This window comes from Homo sapiens, chromosome Y, assembly GCF_000001405.40.
Source record: "Homo sapiens chromosome Y, GRCh38.p14 Primary Assembly".
Lineage (NCBI taxonomy): Eukaryota > Metazoa > Chordata > Mammalia > Primates > Hominidae > Homo > Homo sapiens.
In genome coordinates this window covers 9,527,533-9,548,061 of record NC_000024.10, presented here as the reverse complement: position 1 = coordinate 9,548,061, position 20,529 = coordinate 9,527,533, and the positions used below count along the sequence as shown (strand labels likewise).

Here is a 20,529-nt window from a genome sequence, read left to right as displayed (position 1 = left end):
AAGGGGCCGCACCCAGGCCGACTTCCTTCCCTCATGGCCAATCAATGGGAGGGCGGCGGGCGTCTCCCTGGGCTGCACAGCCACGGGCGCGCCTGCATCTCCAGCCCACTCACCCCACGCCTTCCGTCCCCGAGCCTCCTCCGAGAAGCCCTTGGAGCTTGTGCCGGGTAGCTCAGAGTCCAGGCACACGCGGGCTGCGTGGTCTTTGGAATTGTGGGCATGGTAGCCCTGTGCCCTGACATCCTGAGTGTGGCAAGCCATGATCATCTCTATGTGTCATGAACACACAAAACATCTCTCTTCGTTAGGCAGGCCAGGTAGATGGTACGGAAGTAATACTGCGGATCCAGAGAAGTCTGGTTGCTGGGGCTAGGGCGGCAGGGTTGGACTAGGGGAAGTGAGTCGGGGCGGGCACGTGGGAGGAAAGTCGCCTGCCGGTGCTGAGGTGGAATTGATCTGCTGTAGAGGCCAGAGCCCCGGCACACACTCTCACAGGTCGAGGCAAATAGAGGCTCCGAGTACCATGCTTCCTCCCTGAGGATGCTGTACTCCAAGGAGCATTCCAAAGGGCCTCTTGTCCTATGCCCTGGGCACACCAGAGGCCAGCCGCCAGGGTTGGCCATTGTCGGCCTGCGCGCACGCTGTTGTGCGCTGCCTTGACGATCCAGAAGCTCCCGCACCCGCAGCAGCGGCTGCGGTGCCTGCTGGTGGGGCTCTGCAAGCCCAGGGCCTGGGCCTCTGGCTCCCAAGCTCCTGTCCGCATTTGAGCCTGCTGGGGACCGGAGGCCTTTGACCAGTGCCAGATCTGCGGGTCCAGCGGAGCTCCTCAGGAAACCTGGGTCCACGTAGGTGTGGGACTAGGTTCTCAGCAGGGCGACGCCCGTGGGTCTTTCAAGGAGTGGGTCTGTTGGAGCCCGGGCCCCCAGAGCCTAGGGGTGCAGGACATGGGCTGGGCTAGGCTGCGCAGGCCCGGGGGCTGTGGGAGCACCCAGGAGAGCACTGTGTTCAGGCTGGAGGCAATGCTGGAGAGGACGGCCGGTGTACAGAGCAAGGAGGCGGCCTTGGAAGAGGAGGCGGTGCTGAAGGTGGAAGACATCATGGCTGAGGTGGAGGTGGTGGTTGAGGTGGAGCCCGACGTGGGGTGGCAGAAGGAGGGCCAGCGGGCACAGCCTGGCCCTGGACCGAGCACACCCGGGCCGTCAATGGACTCGCTGGAAGTCCTTCACTTGGAGGTGGGCTCCGTGAATGCCCCAGGCCACAGAGCATCTCCGCCTTGTGGGCCAGAGCCATACTTTGCAGCTGCCGATTCGGGATGGCTGGCAGCAAGGGATAGTCATTGGGCTTCAGGGGGGCATTGGGGCTGGTTGCGGGGAGGAGCCAGGTGGGAGGCACGTGGGGTCAGCCAGGAGGCAGGGTATGGGGGACAGGGTGGGAGCCGAAGCCACGTTGCTGCAGCTGTGAGGGCAGCTTCTTGTAGCACCCCTGGGAGCACGTGGTAGGGAAGGGGAGCCAAGCACAGCACTCACAAGGGAGAATCGCGGCGCCAAGTTCCCTTGCCGCACAGCACAAAGTCGAAGGGGACATTTCCCTGGGAACGTACCTGGAGGACGGTGAATTTGTATGCCATTGCCAGCCATTGAACCACCCCTGCTCTCGGTGCCTGTTTCCAGCAGGCTCACCCCAGAAACACAAGGTGCTTAAAACGAGTTCATGGTGCATGGGGTTGCCGACCACCTCAGGGCAGGTACCAGCTCCCCAGATATGCTTTCTTCCCCCTGCGGGCGCTGCACCCAAAGGTGTGTAGGCCTTGAGCCTATATAACTTCCTTTGCACCCACCCAATTCCCATGGAGAGCGCCAGGCACGACCCTGCTGTCGCTTCTAACTACAGGGCTTCCGTCAAGTGGACAGGCCCACCCCTCAGGGAGACTAGGATAAGAGGACACCACACACCCGGACATCAGCGGAGCATGTCCAGCACCCAGCACACAAAGGCCTCCTGCATCTCAGAAACCCAGAGAAGCAGCCGCCTCACACCACCCCCGGCCCCTCCCGTCCCTCAGCTGCAACCACCTGCCCACTTTTTCTGCCTCCCGTCTCTGGTCAGCCCAGGCCGTCTTGGCCAGGGTCCACCCACTCCAAAAACCACCACAGTTGTGGCGTTGCCTCCTCGCCAGACAGAGATAGAGGGCCAACAATGAAGGGTGACTGGCCAAATGTCTGGGAGATGGCCCTGTTCCACATTGTCTGTGTTCTTGCGAAATTGCAAGGCGTCACGAGGCTTGCCCACCCAATCCTCTGGAGAGTTCTTGCGCAGAGGTAGATTGTTTGGCACACGAGATGTCGGCGTGGGTCGGAAAGCATGCGGAAGTCCTGCTTTGCTACGTGATGGATTTGCAGGTCAGGCTGGGGAGCCTGGGTCTGTGGGAGGAGTCCAGTGTCTGAGTCAGTTTGAGGTCCCCCTGGGGACCAGGGTTGTCTCAGTGGGAGAGCTGGGAAGGGGAAACTCATGGTTCACTACAGCTAGTAGGCCACCTCAGCCCAGCTAGTTGAGATGGTCCCATTGAATCCCTCCTCTTTCTCCTTGATCAGGCAGGTGGAGGAACTCAGCCATCCCAGTTACTGGTGGCAGGATGATTTCCTTTCATCCCAACCTTTATTTCCACAGTGAAATCATCATGAAGGAGCACTGTGTTGGCATCCTCGGTAAGGAATGCCTCCCAGCATGGTAGGGAAGCTGGAGTGTGGGAGGGTAGGACTGGCATGAACCTTCCTGACTCCTCTCCCTTAAGGCTACAGGGTGTCTCATTCCACTGCAGTCCAGCGGTTCTGGGATCATGAAGGTCAAGCCTCCAGATGCAGGCAGTACACCTCCTACCTGAGCTTATTCAGCTGTTTGGCTGAACATGACTGCCTTGGTTTTGGTAGGATTGCTGAGGTGGGGTTCGCCGTGGGGCATCATGGGAAAGGACCTAGCTGGTCATTCCTTGGTCTCTGGGGAATTGGCTTTAAACTGTCACCTGAACTGTCCTGGACCCACTTCTGCAGTCCCCTAGATCATCAGCCAGGCCCTATGGCTCAATCTATTGCAGTTCTATCCCATGGAGAGAGGGTCAGCCCTAGAGGCGGAACAGAGAGGAGGCCAGGCGAGCAGCCTAGGGCTTGGAAGGGCTGGGAACTGAGAGGCCTTTTGACCTGGATCTGGGCCCCACATGGAGAACCCAAGGATCCTGGAGGAGACTGCAGTGAGCAATCCCAGGCAATCCGTGGGTTGGGGGAGAGAGGCCCATCAGGGACATGTAACACCCACATTTCAGGATTGGGGCACCTTAAGCCACTATGATGCATATGTGGCTAAAGTCAGTGGGTGACAAGCAGGGCTTAAGGGATAGCTGTCTCATCATCACTCACCAGCTCCCTGCCCTGCAGTAAGACCTGCGACCACCTGGGGCTCATTTTGAGATCAACCAGGGCCCCCTTTTTCTCCACGAGGATGTTCCTCTGAGGCCCACCTAGGTCTATGTCCTTTCACAGTGTTTCTCCCAGGCCAGTCATGTTTTGTTTCCATGATCCCAGCTGCCTTGACATGTGTTATCCTCTCTGCCATCCTCACTCCCACTGCCCTGCCTTCCCATATAAGTTAGTCCACCTCACACGGAATCTGGAGGACCACACTGGGCTCCAGTGTGAGGCAATGTTTTATTTTCTTCAGGTACATGTATTTTAGGACTACCTCCAGGGCTGGGAATGTGAAGAGATTGCCAAATGGCTGGGGACCTTCAGTGTGTGTCCAGGGAGGGAACCTGGCTGGGAATTAAGGCCCACTTGAGTAATGGTATGGACATCCAGTGTCAGTTATCTTGATAAAGACCTGCTTTCTTACATCACCTACTATTAATATAAAAGTTGATTTCTTAGAATATTGAAAAAACAAATTTAAGTATGAAGAAATATAATTTGTTCATAATTGTATGGAAAAAGCTGCCGACTGATCCATTTCCCATTACAATTCTTATGGGAGACTTGAAGTGTTTAGCAAGATTTAGGATGCATTTTTATTCTTCTACTCCTGCCAGTTTTAATGATCATTTTGTATCACAAGGACATGGTCTCTAGAAAGTTTTTGAGGGACTTTCAGCTTCTTTTAGGGTAGATAGTTGTAAATTTTGAATTGTTTTCCCCTGTGGTTCTTTTCAGGTTGCTCTTTCTACTTTATATGGGGGGGTGTTAAATTTGTTTTCTTATTTGCCCCTTGTGGAACTTTCGTTTTCAAGGAATTTTGTGTGTGTGTGTGTTAGATATGGGAGTTAGCCTGTGAGCATGTTTTCGAATACGGATTTTTTTTTATTCATCAGTTTTTGGGGTGTATGTGTGTGTGCGTGTGTGTGTTTTCAGATGGAGTCTCACTGTGTCATCCAGGCTGGAGTGAAGGGGAAAAGTCTCGGCTCACTGCAACCTCTCCCTCCAGCTTCACAGGATTCCCACGCCTTAGCCTTCCAAGGAGCTGGGATTACAGGCACATGCCACTATGTCCTGCTAATTTTTGTATTTTTAGTCGAGACTGGTTTCACCATATTTGCCAGGCTGGTCTGGTACTCCTGTGATCCGCCTGCACTGACCTCCCAAAATGTTGGGCATCCAAGTGTGAGCCGCCATGCCAGCCTCATTTGTTTGTTTATGTATTTTAATCATTGTTTTATTTTCTTCATGTAAACGTATTTTAGAATTATTGAACTAAATATATTTTATTTAGTTACTCCATACTTTAATAGGCTTTTGAAACTAATTATTCATTAACTAAATACAGTATTATGTATAGGTAAAACTTGTATAGTATTGCCATCCTGTCTTTCATAAATTATTCAAGAACTCTGATGCTGTTTTTGCCCCACATGAGGAGAAAATGCAGACAGTTATAAAAAATTCTGTTCCTGGGTAGGTACGAAAATATAATTTGAAAAAATGGTATATTTCACAAATACAGTTTCACATTTGTATTTTGCATCGTTTTGAAAATTGTAGTTGCTGATACATGAAATTATGTATTCACTTTCATGTTAAATGTACACTTTTGAATCAATTTCAACTATGAAAACAATTGAAGGCCAAGCATTAGTTCAGGAAGCTGAACGCAGTTGTGTTGTAAAAAAAAAACATATTTATTGAAAGTGTATTTAGAGAGATTTTAGAAGGCTTCAGTCAATATTTTTGTTTCTGTTGCTCTGGTGTTTTATCATACAGGGACCAGATGTAGCATCAGTAGCTATAGTTACAAGGCTACCAAAGACTCAGTGCTATAGAAATTATTATTGTGGAAATTGGCAGCCTGGCTGTCTGTTTGAGGAGACTAGAGGACTTAGGAGTTTCCACCCAAAGTACAAGGGCCTGGTTTAGTGGGTGGCCTTCTTTTGCTGAAGTAGATAAGATCCAGGAGAAGGGTGGATTCACTGTAGTAGCCAGGGCTTTGAGACTGGTAAAGCTTATTTGTCCCCTAGTGCCATTGCCAGATATTGGTCTGCGCATAATGGCACTTCCTGGACTCACTGACTCCTATAAATTCAAATGTAGAATTTAGATTTAAATCCCTATTCGAAATTCTTAAACTTACATCTAATCAGTGGGTAATAAAATATGTATTCAAAAGAAAGGGAGATATCAGATAAGTATATAAGCAAATCATCCTGGTCAAATATCTTCAAAAATATTACTACAAAATATTACTAAAGATTAAACCTTAAAATAGTTATTTGAATTGGAGAAACAGAAAAAGGTTGGAGTCGTTTTAAACCCTGAGGTGTAAAGGCACTATAATTAGATTACAGGAATTATATACAATGAATAATTTGTATAACTTATACAAAGAAGTTCAGTTTATTTTATCATGATTAACATTTTACATCCCAAATTTATGTATTTTATTATATTTCCAGTGACTGTTTTGTTTTGTTTTGTTTTGTTTTCAAATTTACTTCCACTCTGTCAGTCTGGAATGCAGTGGCTTCATCTCAGGTCACTGCAACCTCCGTCTCTTGGGTTCAAGGATTTAAAAAATTAGTAAAGAATTTTCAATTAGCCCAAGTTAAAATAAAAGTAAGTGGAAATTGAACAACAAAATTATAACCACTATTTCTTAGCAATTCATGGATTATCATACTAGGAATTGAAATGTACTTAGAACTTAATGATACTGCCAACATTAAAAATTAAGTTTGTGAGTAGCAAGAAAAGTGATATTACAATAGGAGTTTACAGAAAAATATTTCTCTAATAACTTGAAAATTAATGTACTAGATATTTCAAAAAAAGAATTAGAAGAGAAACAACAGAATCAATTCTGAAAAACTGAAGGGTGGGAATAATGATGGAGAGAAAATTAGTAAAACATACAAAGCTAAACTTTGGTTGTTGGAGAAATATAATAAATGATGCAACCCTCAGTCAAGTTTAGAAAAAAAGGGAGAAAGCACAGATAAAACTAAGAATTTAAAAGATACACAACCATAGATACAGCATAGATTAAGAAGCTAATAAGGAAATATCATTAACACCTTAACTTACAAATTTGAAAACTTAGATCAAATAGACAGATTTTTATAATGTGTCTACATATATAGACATATATATAGCTTTCTATATATATTTCATATTTATTTATATTTTTTATATTTATATCTTATATTTATATAAGATTATATATGATATAAATATAAGCTATGTATATAGCTTAGTAAAATTAACACAAGAAGACATATCTAATCTGAATGGTCTTGTAAATGTTCAAGGAAATAAAGGATTCTTCCTAGAGATAAAACAACAGGCTCAGATTTTTTCCCCAGGCAGAGCATTTCAATATATATGAAGAATTCTATAGAATAAAAAAGGGAAATTCCTAAACTCCTTGTGTAAGGCAAGCAGAACTTTCATGCCAACAAGACATAAACTGAGTGTAGAAAAAGATATGAAAACTAAAGTCCATTCTCATTGATGAAACAAATGGTAAAATCCCAAATGTAACAAGATTTATGTGAATTGTTTGAGGGTTAGAAGGAAATTTCCTTCTGCCAGATCCTGCTACTCTGGGACAACACACACACAAATTTATGTTTTGAGATTTTCTGTAATACCCATGCAATATGGAACTGGCTTGACAATCTGTGTGATAGCCAGCCTGTGGCCATGACTTCTCAGGGACACAAATTGTTTCTGTTTGCCTCCTTGTTCTGCTCAGCTCCAAGAGAACTTTGACCAAAGTTCCTTGAGCTTGGAAATAGGAATGGGTTTACTTATGTTTCACCCTTACTGTGAAGATACAGTCCGGTGGAATCCAGATCCACTGGGAGAGTCGGCTATTAAACTCTTTTCATGAGTAGTCCCTAGGCCTTGACTAGAGTCTTTCTTGAGATATGAGGCTAATAGTTCCTTCTTGGTCCGCCACTTTTTGATATAATTAATGCTTCTTCTATTGGGAATTTTTAATTGTTTGGGAAGTGATATGGTTTGGTGCGTCTCCATTCGAATCTCAGCTTCATTTGTATCTCCCAGAATTCCCTCGTGTTGCGGGTGGGACCCAGGGGGAGGTAATTGAATCATGGGGGTCGGTCTTTCTCATGCTATTCTTGTGACAGTGAAGAAGTCTCACGAGATCTGATGGGTTTTTCAGGGGTTTCTGCCTCAGGTTCTTCCTCATTCTCTCTTGGCATTGCCATGTAAGAAGTGCCTTTATTCGTATACCATGATTCTGAGGCCTCCACAGCCATGTGGAACTGTCAGTCCAATTAAACTTCCTTTTATTCCCAGTTTCAGGTATGTCTTCTTCAGCAGCGTGAAAATGAACTAAGACAGGAGGTTTGGTCCAAATAACCTTGGCTTCCATGATAGAAGCTAGAAGTTGGCGAAATGTTTAATCTATTCTGTGGCAAACTTTTGCAGTGGGTCTTATTTTTCTAATTTTCTTTCTTGTTCTCTTCACCTTTGTTTCTCACAGGGTACTCTCGCTCTGTAGCCCAGGCTGGAGTGCAGTGGCAGGATCTGAGCTGAACACATCCTCCGCCTCCCAGGTTCAGCCTCTGCAGTAGCTGCGATTACAAGCATGCATCACCACGCTCAGCTAATGTTTTGTATTTTTAGTAGAAGCCAGGCTTCACCATGTTGGCCAGGCTGCTCTCCTACTACAGATCTCAGGTGACCCGCCCGACTCAGCTTCCCAAAATCCAAAGTGCTGGGAATACAGGTGTGAGCCACCGAGCCCAGCCAACTCCAGTATTTTTTACCTAAGCCAGTGGACGAGTGGAGTTGCCTTCATTTTTTTTTCTTTTTTCAGTCATGATCTCGCTGTGTCATCCAGGATGGAGTGCAGTAGTCTGATCTTGGCTTACTATACAATCTCTGCCACCCATGTTCAGGCGGTTCTCCTACCTCAGCCTCCCAAGTAGCTGGGACCACAGGAAAGTGCCACTAAGTCTGGTAATTTTTGTATTTTTGGTAGAGACAAGTTTTTGCCATGTTGCCCATGCTGGTCTCCAACTCCTGACCTCAAGTGACCCACCAACCTCAGCCTCCCAAAATGTAGAAATTATAACAAGAGCCATGAAGCCTGGGCTGGAGTTGCGGCTTTTTGACATAAGAAATCTGTGGAGGAAAAAGCTTGGTTTGTGGGAGCACCTGAGATCAGTTTGGCTCAAAGGTTTGGGATACCTATTATTGAGTGGCAGTGACGGTATGTTGTTAATGTACAATATGTTCCTGTATATAGCATATGTCTATGCTCATCAGATATTTTCAGGTAAAAAAAGATAGTCATTCCAGTAGTTTGAGCCATTATAGCAATTTCCACCAGGGGATTTCACAGTCCAATTCCAGTTGTGGGCAACAGTGATTAACATAATGGTAATTAATGAGAAGAGATTTTGAGACGTCCAGCCACGTTTCCATGTCAGTGCCTTGTTTGCAGTATTATGAAGAAAGAGTGCATTGGACTAGATACTAAGAAAAACATTGAATTATTTTTCTTGCCTCTATAACATCAAAGGACAATTAGAGATATAGAAACTATGGAACATTTCACAGCATGGCTTGACATTTCACTGAACTTTTAGCCTTTTAACCGTGTACAAAGTTTGTTACCTATGCAAAGGTAGGACTGCAAAAGGAAGACAGAGGTGGAGTCAGAGGTCACAATCCACAGCAAGGTGACACTCTTGTTGATCGCACCTTGAAAGCTAAATTAGAGTGAGAATTAACTTTCCGGTTGCCGTAAGAGAACAAGGAGAATGAAGCTACCAGCAGTTAATGGTATTGGATTAATTGAAATAAAGGTTGACATATTTTTTTGGCTTTCCATCAAATTGAGTAAAGAAAAGGTAACCGCTTATCTAATTTCACGCATATACAATTGTGGATTAATTAAAACATTATACAACCCATATATTATGGGTTTCTCATATAAGTGTATATGTACATGGGCAAACTCACAGTGTGCTAATATGTGTCTATATCCAAGTATATACAAATCCAGTGACCAACAGTTAACAAGAGAGAAATTCTCTTCCATTTCACCATTCCCTTTCCTAGAATTTTTTCATAAATATAATTTTTCATATATTTGAAGCCTACTCTCTGGAGGCATGTAATGCATGCATGCAGTAAACCTGTGCGATCTCACAATGTTGGTGTCAGAGAAAACAAAAACACCAATGTTATAAAAGATTAATTGTGAGGAGAAAGTTATACTTCCCGTTACTACAAATACACAAGTATGATTTCATCCAAAGCTGAAATCAGTCAATATAATTTGTTTTTAATGTTTTATTTAAAATACTTAATTTCAATAGGATTACTGAAGGAAATTAACGGTATTCATAATAAATAATGTTGACGAATTCCCTTTAATTGTTGATTATTTAAAACGTAAGTAAAATACTAAATGGCACTGTATAATGTAGTTTCATGAAGCATTGTTTATGGTTTTCATAAAATTGATAGTCTCCATGGAATATTTTGAGACTGAGAAAATTCCATATATCATTTTATTGTACTTTAACTTTACTACTTGCTTACATGTCATAACTGATGGAAATAAAACTATGTATATTTACACATATGCAAAGGATGGATTTTTGTTTATGTTTATGTTTTCTAGTGAGACAAAGTTACCAATAATTTTATCTATATAGGAAAATTTTTAAAACTATATTTTTAAATTTTTACAAACTATATTTACAAATTTTTACAAAAGAAAGTTCTTAACTTTCTTTTCTTTTGAAGTTGCATATTTCAGTCTAAGTATGAAATGGTATTGGCTGTGATCATTCTTTGTTTTCACTGTTATTTGTGAGTTTCTGATACGCTGTTAGGAATGTACAGATTTTAAAGCTTGCTTTCTTCTTCTTCATCTCCCTTTGGACATTTATATGTGATTTCTGCAGTAATGTGCAGTGCTATCTGACATACAGTTGCTGAAAGATACAAGCATATATAGAATTCTTCGTTTCAGTGAATCTTTAGGAACAGAACAGTAACCTGAAAGATAATTATGGTATGAATCTAAGCAAGCAGTTTATCACAGAGGTACAATAAGGGTGAAAATAAATTTAAAAATACATGCCTCATCAGAAACATGAGGTAGTCAAAATGAAAAATTTAAGTTGGCATAAAGCACACTTTAAAAGTCCTGATTCTTTCTGGTGAGAGAAAGTAGCTCAGAAAACATGAGAAATTCCTTCAAAGCTGCATGTTGGGTTTGCAGGTCAGGATGGAAAGCCTGGGTCTGGGGGAGGGTGCTAAGGTCCTGGTCAGGTTGAGGTCCTTCTGGGGCTCAGGTGTGTCTCAGTGGGAAAGCTGGGAAGGGGAAACGCATGCTTCACCCCGGCTAGAATGCCACCTCAGCCAACCTAGATGAAATTGCCCCTTCACAGCCCTGTTTCTCCTTCTTGGACAGGCAGGTGGAGGAACTCGGCCACCCTGAATACAAGGGGTAGGAAGAAGTTTCCCTTTCATCACAACATTTACTTCGGAAACAAAGTGATGACTAAGGAGTATTGCGTTGGCATCCTCCCTGAGGAGTAGAGGGGGTAGTACCTCGGGAGCTGGGCCTGGCGTGCGCCTTCCTGACTCGTCTCCCTCCAGGATACAGGGCGACTGGCTCCACTGCAGTCCAGTGGTTCTAGGGTCATGCAGGTGAAAGCCCGAGTTTCCCGCAGGTCACTGCCTGAGCTTCTTCAGCTGGTTGTCTGACTGTGAGGGCCCAGGTTACGGCACGATTGCTGAGGTGGGGCAGCTATGGGGCATCATGGCAAAGGACCTTCTTCGACATTCCTTGGCATCGGAGGAATTGGCTTTGAACCAGAACCTGACCTGTCACGACCAATTTGCCCAGTCCACCAGATCATCAGCCAGGGCCTGTGGCTCTATATTCTGCAGCACTACCCAAGGGAGTTAGGCCCTCAGAGAGGGAACAGAGAAGAGGCCAGGGAAGCAGCCCAGGGCTGGGGGTTGACAGGCCTGTGGGTCCTGGAGTTAGGACACACATAGAGAAGCCAAGGCTCAGGGAGGAGACTGCAGTAAGGAAACTCAGGCCATCATGGGCTGGTGGAGAAATGCCCATCAGGGAACTGTGGTACCCACATTTCACGATGGGGGAACCGTAATCTGCTTAATAGGCATAAGTAGCTAAGGTCAATGGGTGGGAAGCCAGGGTCAAGAGATAGCTGCCTCATCATCCCTTGCTAGCTACTTCCCTGTCCTGAGGCTTGCTTCTACCTGGGGTTCAGTTTGGGCTCAACCAGGGATCTCTCACCCTCCACACAGATGCCCACCTGAGGCCTCTCTAGGTCTGCGTCCTCCCAGAATGACTCTCCCAGGCCTGCTAAGTACCGTTTGGATGACACCACGCTCCACTGACATACTTGGTTCCCTCCGCCATCCTCATTCACCCAGCAACTCCCCACCCCAAAAAAGGCAGGCCACCGCACAGGGAATCTGGAGGACCACACAGGGCTCACAGGGGAGGAAATGTGAAGAGATGGCAAAACAGAACAGGACATTCCGTGTGTTTCCAGAAGGCAATCTGGCTGGATATTAAGGCCCACCTCAGTATTGGTGAGGACACCCAGTGTCTCTTGGCCCTGAGCATGTGCACACAAACACGCACATTGTCTAAACGGCATTGACATCACTACTACCTGAGTCATCCTCAGATTCTATACAACCCCTGTAAAAATATCAATGACACATTCTTCTTAGAAAACAATCTGGGAATCCCAAATTTGCTATGAAATGGCAGAAGATCCTGAAAACCCAGAGCAATCCAGTAAAAAGCACAAAGCTGGAGCCACCCCACTACCTAACTTCATGATATACTACTACAAAACTTTTTGTACCAAAATACAATAGCGCTGGCAGAAAAGCAGAGACTAGAGCTTAGGAAAAACAACAGGAGCCCAGAACTAAGTCACTGCATTTGCAGCTCACAGCCTTTTCCCAAAGAAGCAAGAACGCCCAATGCAAAATCAAGTATCTTCTATAAACTAGGTTGGGGAAATCTGAATAGCCACACAAAGGATTTTACAAGTGGATTATTTATCACCAAACTCCAGTGTCAGATGTGAAACGATAAAAATAGCAGAAGAGATCACAAGGAAGCAGCTCCATGGCGTCCGTGTGTGCAATGATGGTCTCAAAGTGACTGCAAGAACACAGTAAACACCATCAAAAATAGAGAATGGAATCATATCAAACTAAAGTGCTTCACCACACCATAGAAAACTCAACATACAGAAGGGGCATCCTACAGGATGGGAGCAATGATTGGATCACCATACATCTGTTCATGGGGGAATAGTCACAGTACATAAGGAACTCCCAACAACTCAATAGCATGAAAACAAATGGGCGAAGGCTGCGAAGACTCATTTGTGAAACTGAGACATACAGTTGCCCAGAAGACACACTAAAAATTCCTCATTATCCCCAATCCATCACGAAAATGCAAATCAAAAACACAATGAGATTTCTTCTCACTTCAGTCAGAATGCATATTATCCGAAAGACAAACAAACAAAAAAAAAAAAAGAAAGAAAAGAAAACCCTAATCTCTGGTGAGGAGGCAGAGAAAACGAATTCCCTGCTCACTTTTGGGGAGAATGTAAATTAGTGCTGGCATTAAAGAAGCTTTATTGCTCTTATTTAAGTATAAACAGCCTTCAGAAATCTACAATTAGAACCACCCACTATATGATCCAGCAAATCAGAATACCCGGGCACGCCCGCCAGTACACAGATCAGTATGTTGAAGCGGTGCGCGCACCCATGCAATTATTGCTGCACTCATTACATTTTTGCTGTAGCCAAAATGCGGAAGCAACCTGAGTGTCCCTCCATTGATAAGTGGATTAAAAAATGGGGCAAAAACGCATATGCGCAACGGAAATATGCGCTGCAATAAGAAATCAGGAAATCCTGCCAGTTGTGAGAATGTGTGGGAATCTGCTGAATGTGTGCATGCCATTCTGTTAAGTGACATAAGCCAGGTATCAGAAATGAAAATAGCACATGATCTCATTCTTATATGAAATCAAAAAAGCGGACTTCACAGAAGTAGTGACTCCAATGACTGCGGTGAAGAGGGTGCACTGACGAGATGCTGGATGAAGAACTCATACTTCTAGTTATAAAGGAGGAATAGGTTAAAAATATTTTCTTCAGCATGCTCACTATAACTAGTGGTAACATATTCTTTCTCTAAAAATATTCGAATACAGTGCAAGTCAAGTTTTTTCACAACAAAAATGACAACTATGTGAGGTCACACATATGTTGATTGGCTGGATGTATCCAATGCATAATGTATATGACCTGTTGAACATCACGCCTTAAGTTGTAAATATGTATCATTTCATATGACATTTTTTAAACAAACATACAATTTTTAAAATGCCTTAACAAAATAAATGCAAATAAAATATTTTATTATAAAGCAGTGCTTTTCTTTTCTAGCAAAGTCTTTTTCATGACACAGGAAAGAATGCAAGCCGTTTCGTAACTTGAGAAATAAATACATATGTGTACATGTATATATATACGTATATACATGTATATACGTATATAAATGTGCATATATACGTATATACATGTATATACATATATATGTGTGTACATAGGTATTCTTATATACATATATATATATATATATATATATATATATATATATATATATATGAAAATCCCAATGAATGCTGATGATGAGTTGAAAGATAGAAATTCCAGGCACAGAGACTACAGTCCATGAATTGAAACCTTCAGTGCATGTTTCAAAACAAGACGTGAGGAGGAGGAAGAAAAAAGCAAAAAACACAAAGCCATGGCAGGGCCATGGGTCACACCTGTCATCCCAGCACTTTGATAAGCTGAGGTGGGAGGATTGCCTGCACTCAGGAGTTCCAGATGAGCCTGGGGCAACATGGACCCACATTCAAAAAGTAAGTATTTAGTTAATTAATACATAGCTTGGAGGGGTGGCATGCACCTGTACTGCCAGGTGTGTGAGAGTCTGAGTTGACAGGATCACATGGGTGTGTGGTGCCTGGGCTGCAGTGGGCTGAGATCGTGGGGCTGCTGTCCAACCTAGAAGACAGAGTAAGACCCATTCTCGGAAAACAAACAAAAAAACAGTCACATTAGGTAAATTAAAACTATGTAGTGTGAGGAGAATCAAAATAAACGAAACATCATTAGAGCCTACGCGATGTGATGAAGGAAACCAGCTTTCACATAATAACAGCCCCGGCTGGGGAGAACAATGAGAAAGGGCAGAGAGAACCCTGTAAATAATACCACGCCAAATTCCCCAAATGAGTTAAAACACATAAAAGTACGAAGAGTGCTTCTTTTCAATTCAATGCCCTTGAATTCAGAATTAGAAAGTAAACCCAGATAGAGAATAGAAAGATAGACGATACAGATGGAGAGAGTGTGGTGGGGAAGCAAGGGAAGGATGAAAGGGGTGTAAAGGAAGGAAAAGAAAAAAGGAAGGGAGAGAGAGTGACAGATGTTCAAAGACACAGATACAAAGTCTACAATGGTTGTAGAGATAGGCATGTGCAAATTGTCGCAGGGAGTGTGGAAAAATATCGGAACCACGGAGACACAGGTGGAGTCAGAGAAAATATACAAACCCGCACAGAGAAATAAACATACGCAACCACAAACACACACGTGCTACTTTAAACACGAAAAGACACCAAGTCCCTGTCGGTACAAATCACAGATGTGCTTCCGAGTTACTGAGGCACGGTGCAAATTTGTCAGTGCCCTTAGCATCTGTGGCCCACGTGCACGGATATTCAGTGGAAGAAGCATTACACAGCCTGTATAATTCAGCACGATCTGTGATAATACCAGAAGAAGGGATCTCATGTGAAATCACTAGACTGAATTGCACGTAGGATTCAAGGAAGAAGCCCAGTCTGCTGCATTCACTCGGTGGGGTGGCAATATGGCTGAGCCACCAACCCGTGGCACACCCATCCATCGTAGACAGTTCCTGGTTTGCTACCTGCCTTGGAAAAAGCTCCTCCCCTACCACCACTTTAAAACAGGCTAGCTCCAAAACTAGCCCTGGCATCTATTTACGGTCATTTTCTTATCTATTTACCTCCTAGAAAAATCATTGCAAGACCCTTTCCTCAACATTTTCCTATGCCTTAAATTTGGGGCAACACGTTTTAAGACGACCTCGTTATAGGCAAGTCCCCAGACGTTTCCTAATCTGAGTTGCCCAGAGTGCACACACCAATCTGTTGCCCCATTGCCGCTATAGGGATACCGTACTGGACCACAGTGTCTTTGACATGCACACAGTAGGATAGAGGGCAGCTTGAGGGGGCCAAAGTGTTCCGACTGTTTTCAGAATAATTTGCTTAGAACACCTGTTTCTCCTGTGTTTGTGGGTCAGGGGGACGGTAGTCAGAGGAGGACAAGACTCCCGCTCCAGAGCTTCAGAGGTCTGCATAGGAGCAGGGACAAAACCAGGCGATAGATTTTCAAAGCTCAACTGCTTTGACACCGAGCAGGAGGTGTAGAATGCATATTGCAGGCACCACAACAGATTCAGGAACTTTGACTGTCAAACCCTCTTCCCTGAAACAACATGCTCTTCTCACAGAAGCTGTGCTGACGAGAGTCTATACGGGACAGCAATGTTAGCACTCTAGTAGCGTGTGGTCAACATGGATGCTCGTGTTGGAACTGTTTCATCTGGGAACAGGAAAGAAAGTTCTGCCTCCGACACTGAAATCCTCCTGCCCCATCCTTGACAGAGGCAACCCCTTGTCTTGTGCAGACACACGTGTTCCTGGGAAGCAGCCTCCCACTCGCGAATGAAAGCTGTATGTTTTGTCCTCCTGTGTGAGGCTTGCAAAACATATTCCGCAACTATATTCGCTTTACGTTCTAAACCTTAGGCAAACTATGCTGAAGAGGCCACAGAAAATTTAGGGGCCCTGGGCTCCAGATACAATCTGCAGTGCCAATCACGAGGGAGAATAGAGCCTCACTAGACTTTGCAAGAGCACAAAATGCACTCGTACTGTTGTTAGCTACATACGTTATTGGCTCCTCACCTAACACAGAATCTTGGAGAAAAGCTTAAAACAACTAAAGATGTAAACATCAACAAGAGTGTCCATATCCTGGGTCATCAAGTGACAAGAGAGTCCATGGATGGATTCTCCAACAATCTTATATTCCACTAATCCACCCCCTTTCCCCTCACTTCTGTAAGTTTCTGTTTTCCCTTAGTCATCTATGCCAAAAGCGTATCCTGAATGCCTTCCCACATGCCTCTGTCACCTTTCCCACAGTCCCTCCATACACCTTACATGCCCATTTCTTCTCACGTTGATGTTTCAGAAGTCCTGAGAGGCTGATTGTCCCAGAAAAGGATCATGCATTCACCTTTAAAAGAACATGTGGATTCAACACGAAAGCGAACTTTAAGATTTCCATCATCCTGTGCTTAGCTACTGTGTATGATGATACCCAAAATGAAGGATTTTGGAGGTCCCAGCAAACTGGGCCCTGGAAACCCAGTAACCCCTTTCCTTGAACTATCTCTGCTTCCACAGGACGAAGTCAGCCTCCAACTAAGCTGTCTTTTGCTTTTACCTCTCCCACTCTGTCCTGTAGGAAGAATCCCAACACATCCCACACCCATTCACTCTACAACTTTAGAGGCCCAGCTCCAACGCAGACTGGTTATTTCCATGAAGAGAATAAAGCACGTGGATTGATCAATTCATTATGACACCCGAATAAAGTGGATAAACATACACACACACACACACACAAACACAAAGACACACACACACACACACAGACACAGAGTCACACATCCTTGAGAATGTTTATTTTTCATTCCATACAATCCACATTTACCCCCTCTTCCTGAATTTTTGTGACTCGATCTGTTTTTCCTTTAGTTCCTGTGCATAAGACCATGCTGAGTACTGCCGTCCTGCATATGGCTGTAACTTTTTAGGAGTTCTGCTGTATTAGGTAAAATCTGATGCTCCATCATATTCAACTCAACAACTGGGAGTCCCCTAGAGAAACACAAACTCATGTTAAAACGCATTTTCTCTGAGCCATACTTTGAAATGTTTCAATTGTGGGGCCCGCTGAGAAAAGGATATCCCTTCCCCATTTGTGATCCCTTAAACTTCCTCCTACCACGTGTTACAAACTGTTCTGCGCAATCCCTGCCCCATTCCCAGTATTGTCTGTGAGGGGAGTCAGCTAACAAGATGCACTGGGCCCTAAAAGCACACACAAGTCTGATGGGGCAACAGCTTAAGGAAATCCATCAATCTAAACAGTCCTTTGTGGTTTGGGGCAAGGATGACCAGGACGCACATTCAGGGAGCCCAATCTCATGGGGTTGGCGGGATGACTGCCGGTGGGGTTGACAGCCGTGGAATCAAGTGCCACAGACTGAACTGAATGATTTTCAGCTTTACTTCTCATTGATTCTGGAAATGGACGATTCTTCACTGGGCTTAAGACTCCACAGCTATCACCCGCTTTGCAGTGCAGTCTCTAACGTGCCTTTTCAGCCCAATGCCATGAACGTCCTGGATTCTGTCACTCTCTGTCTTCCTCTCAAGGAATTTCTACATGTACGAAAGGAGCCTCAATTTCTACATTTCTGAAATGAGCACCCAGGCTCCCTGAATAGGCAGGTGTGTCAACCCCCTTATACTGGGCATCAAACAGCTCCAGTGCCAACTAACGGCTCACCTGACGTCTCTGTTCCCTCTTCAGGTGGCTTCATCCTCTTGTAGTATTGCAGGGGATTGCGCCACAGGTCCTTACATAGGATCTGTCAGGGGACTCAATCGGGAAAGGCCTCATCAGGGCTCAGAAAGGTGACCCAAGCAGCTGGGAACACACGGGGTCATTCCTCATGTTTCCCAGTGAGGACTCACCTCAGCAATCTTGTTAGATCCTGCGAAGTTGTGGTCAGAGAACCAGTTGAAGAAGTTAAGGCTGCTGTTGTGGTGTCTGCGGCGATAGGCCTCCACTTCATAATCCGGATACCACTCAATTGGAGTGGAATGAGAAGCCCTGTATTCTACAGAGACAGGAGTTTTTGTGGGAAGGGGGCTGGATCCCGTTGGCAATGATCCACCCACCATCTTCCTTCCACTACCCATCCTGGGAGCCACCTGTCACCTGTGATGTTCACCAGATATTCCTTGGTAATCACTTTATTCTGGAAGTAGGGGTTACTCCGAAAGAACAACATGATCTTGCAGAGATGAACAGGATGCTTCTCTTCTTCCACCTGTCAGGACAAGGTGGAGAAAGCTTAGATAGGTTTTCGGGTGAGGTGCTCACTCTTGCTTACAGGAATGAATTATTTCCCTTACCCTCCCCCGCTAAACCCTCTAGCCCCAGTCTTCCTGGCCTCACCTCCAGGCTGACCATGTAGCTCAGCATGTCTTCATCTTCGTCAGTGATCAGGGCTGACATCTGGGGGTGGTTTGCAATCTGATTTAGGTCAAAGAGACTTTACACACGATGGAAGGGAAAGCGAGGAGCAACAGGGAAGAAGGCCTAAGAGCACCCAGAGGCTGGGGTAGGGGATTTCTCAGATCTGCTTCCACGTATGATCTCCTTTCGCCTCCCCCTCCCCGTAAACTAAGGCCTCCTGTGTTCACAGAGGGTGTATGATTCTGAGGCTGACTGCACTGACATGGGGAGGCGCGATTTGCAGAGACTTGCTGGTGTCTGAGGAGTGGCAGAATCTGCTTATAGCCGAAGACGCCCAGTCCCAGATCGGACTAGCAAGGGGCAGCAATCACACTCCCTTAAAAATAGCTTCATTCACTGAAAAACCTCTTCCGCTCTGAACTCGCTTCTGCTCTTCAAAAAGATGCCCCAAACGTCTGCTGCTCGGCATCACCAAGGGTTTCTCTGCCGCATGCAGGACAATAGTACCCACGCCTGCTCCGGCTTTCCACAGCCACACTGGTCCGTGGCAACTCCCCTTTGTTCCCCAAAGAGTCACATCGACGCCGAGCTGCCCATCGGTCACTTACACTTCCCCGAGAGCACCTCTCCACTAGAAAGGCCGAAGAAACACTGAGAAGGATACAACATTGGCCCAGAAGCCAGGGACGCTCTGGATGACGGCGCCTCTGCGGTCTAGGTGGGGCTTGCGCCTCCGCTCCATCTTTTCCCGCTGCCGAGAAAAGGCCTTCCTGGCTTGGGCATTAACCGGCTCCAGCTCCACCTGAACGGCCAGCAGCTCCTCCAGTGCAGACTCTGGGGTCATGGGCCCAGGGCCAGGCACAGCCTGCTGTGCCCGCTGGGCCTCCTCCCGCCGCTCCACGAGGCCCTCCTCCTCCGCCACCACCTCCACCTCCGCCATTATGTCATCCAACAGCAGCACCGCCTCCTCCCCCAAAGCCGCCTGCTCACTCTCCACCCCGGCCGCCCCCTCCTGTACAGCCTCCATCCTGAAGGCGGTGCCCTCCTTGGCACTCGCACACACCAAGGCCTGTGCTGCCCGACCCACGCCACAGAAACCCTGCCGCAGCCTCTCTGGCACCCGGTAGGTCAGCGAGCCCTCAGGGCGCATGCGCCGGGCTTCCAGGCGCCCCCTAAGGGACTGCGCGCGAAGGGCCGGGGGGCCGCACCCAGGCCGACTTCCTCCCGTCGTGGCCAGTCAATGGGAGGGCGGTGGGCGTCTCCCTGGGCGGCACAGCCACTGGCGGGCCTGCATCTCCAGCCCCCCCACCCCCCGCCTTCCCTGCCCAAGCCTCCTCCGAGAAGCCCTTGGAGCTTGTGCCGGGTAGCTAGGCATCCGGGCACACGCGGGCTGCGTGGCCTTTGGAATTGTGGGCATGGCAGCCCTGTGCCCTGACATCCTCAGTGTGGCAAGCCATGAACATCTCTATGTGTCATGAACACAGGAAACATCTCTCTTCGTTAGGCAGGCCAGGTAGATGGTACGGAGGTAATACAGCAGATG

General features: G+C 45.9%; 1 protein-coding gene across 4 annotated transcripts; it reads right to left on the bottom strand.

The window, feature by feature from the left end:
• On the bottom strand, positions 17,386-20,182 carry TSPY10 (testis specific protein Y-linked 10). Of its 4 annotated transcripts, none has more exons than XR_001756003.2 (6): positions 19,651-20,182; positions 18,966-19,043; positions 18,726-18,837; positions 18,479-18,617; positions 18,291-18,383; positions 17,386-17,596 (listed from the first exon to the last, which is right to left on the bottom strand). XR_001756003.2 is itself a non-coding variant. In NM_001320962.1 (6 exons), exons 1-5 carry the CDS (start codon positions 20,134-20,136, stop codon positions 18,321-18,323), a joined length of 885 nt encoding a protein of 294 aa, NP_001307891.1. In that variant the 5' UTR covers positions 20,137-20,182; the 3' UTR covers positions 17,386-17,596; positions 18,291-18,320. The 4 variants fall into 4 exon arrangements, 3 of the variants coding, with proteins under 3 accessions (NP_001307891.1, NP_001269398.1, XP_016885514.1); NM_001320962.1 differs by having other exon boundaries at positions 18,479-18,624; NM_001282469.3 differs by having other exon boundaries at positions 18,291-18,372; positions 18,479-18,624.
• Between the last annotated feature and the right edge of the window lie 347 nt (positions 20,183-20,529).

What these genes read in the sequence shown, in the direction of transcription:
- TSPY10 (NM_001282469.3), bottom strand. Translation starts at nt 20,136, where the DNA reads ATGCGCCCTGAGGGCTCGCTGACCTACCGGGTGCCAGAGAGGCTGCGG. An exon ending in CTGGCTTCTGGGCCAATGTT is followed by an intron (nt 19,044 to 19,650) that starts GTATCCTTCTCA and finishes GACCTAAATCAG; the next exon opens with ATTGCAAACCACCCCCAGAT. An exon ending in GCTACATGGTCAGCCTGGAG is followed by an intron (nt 18,838 to 18,965) that starts GTGAGGCCAGGA and finishes TTGTCCTGACAG; the next exon opens with GTGGAAGAAGAGAAGCATCC.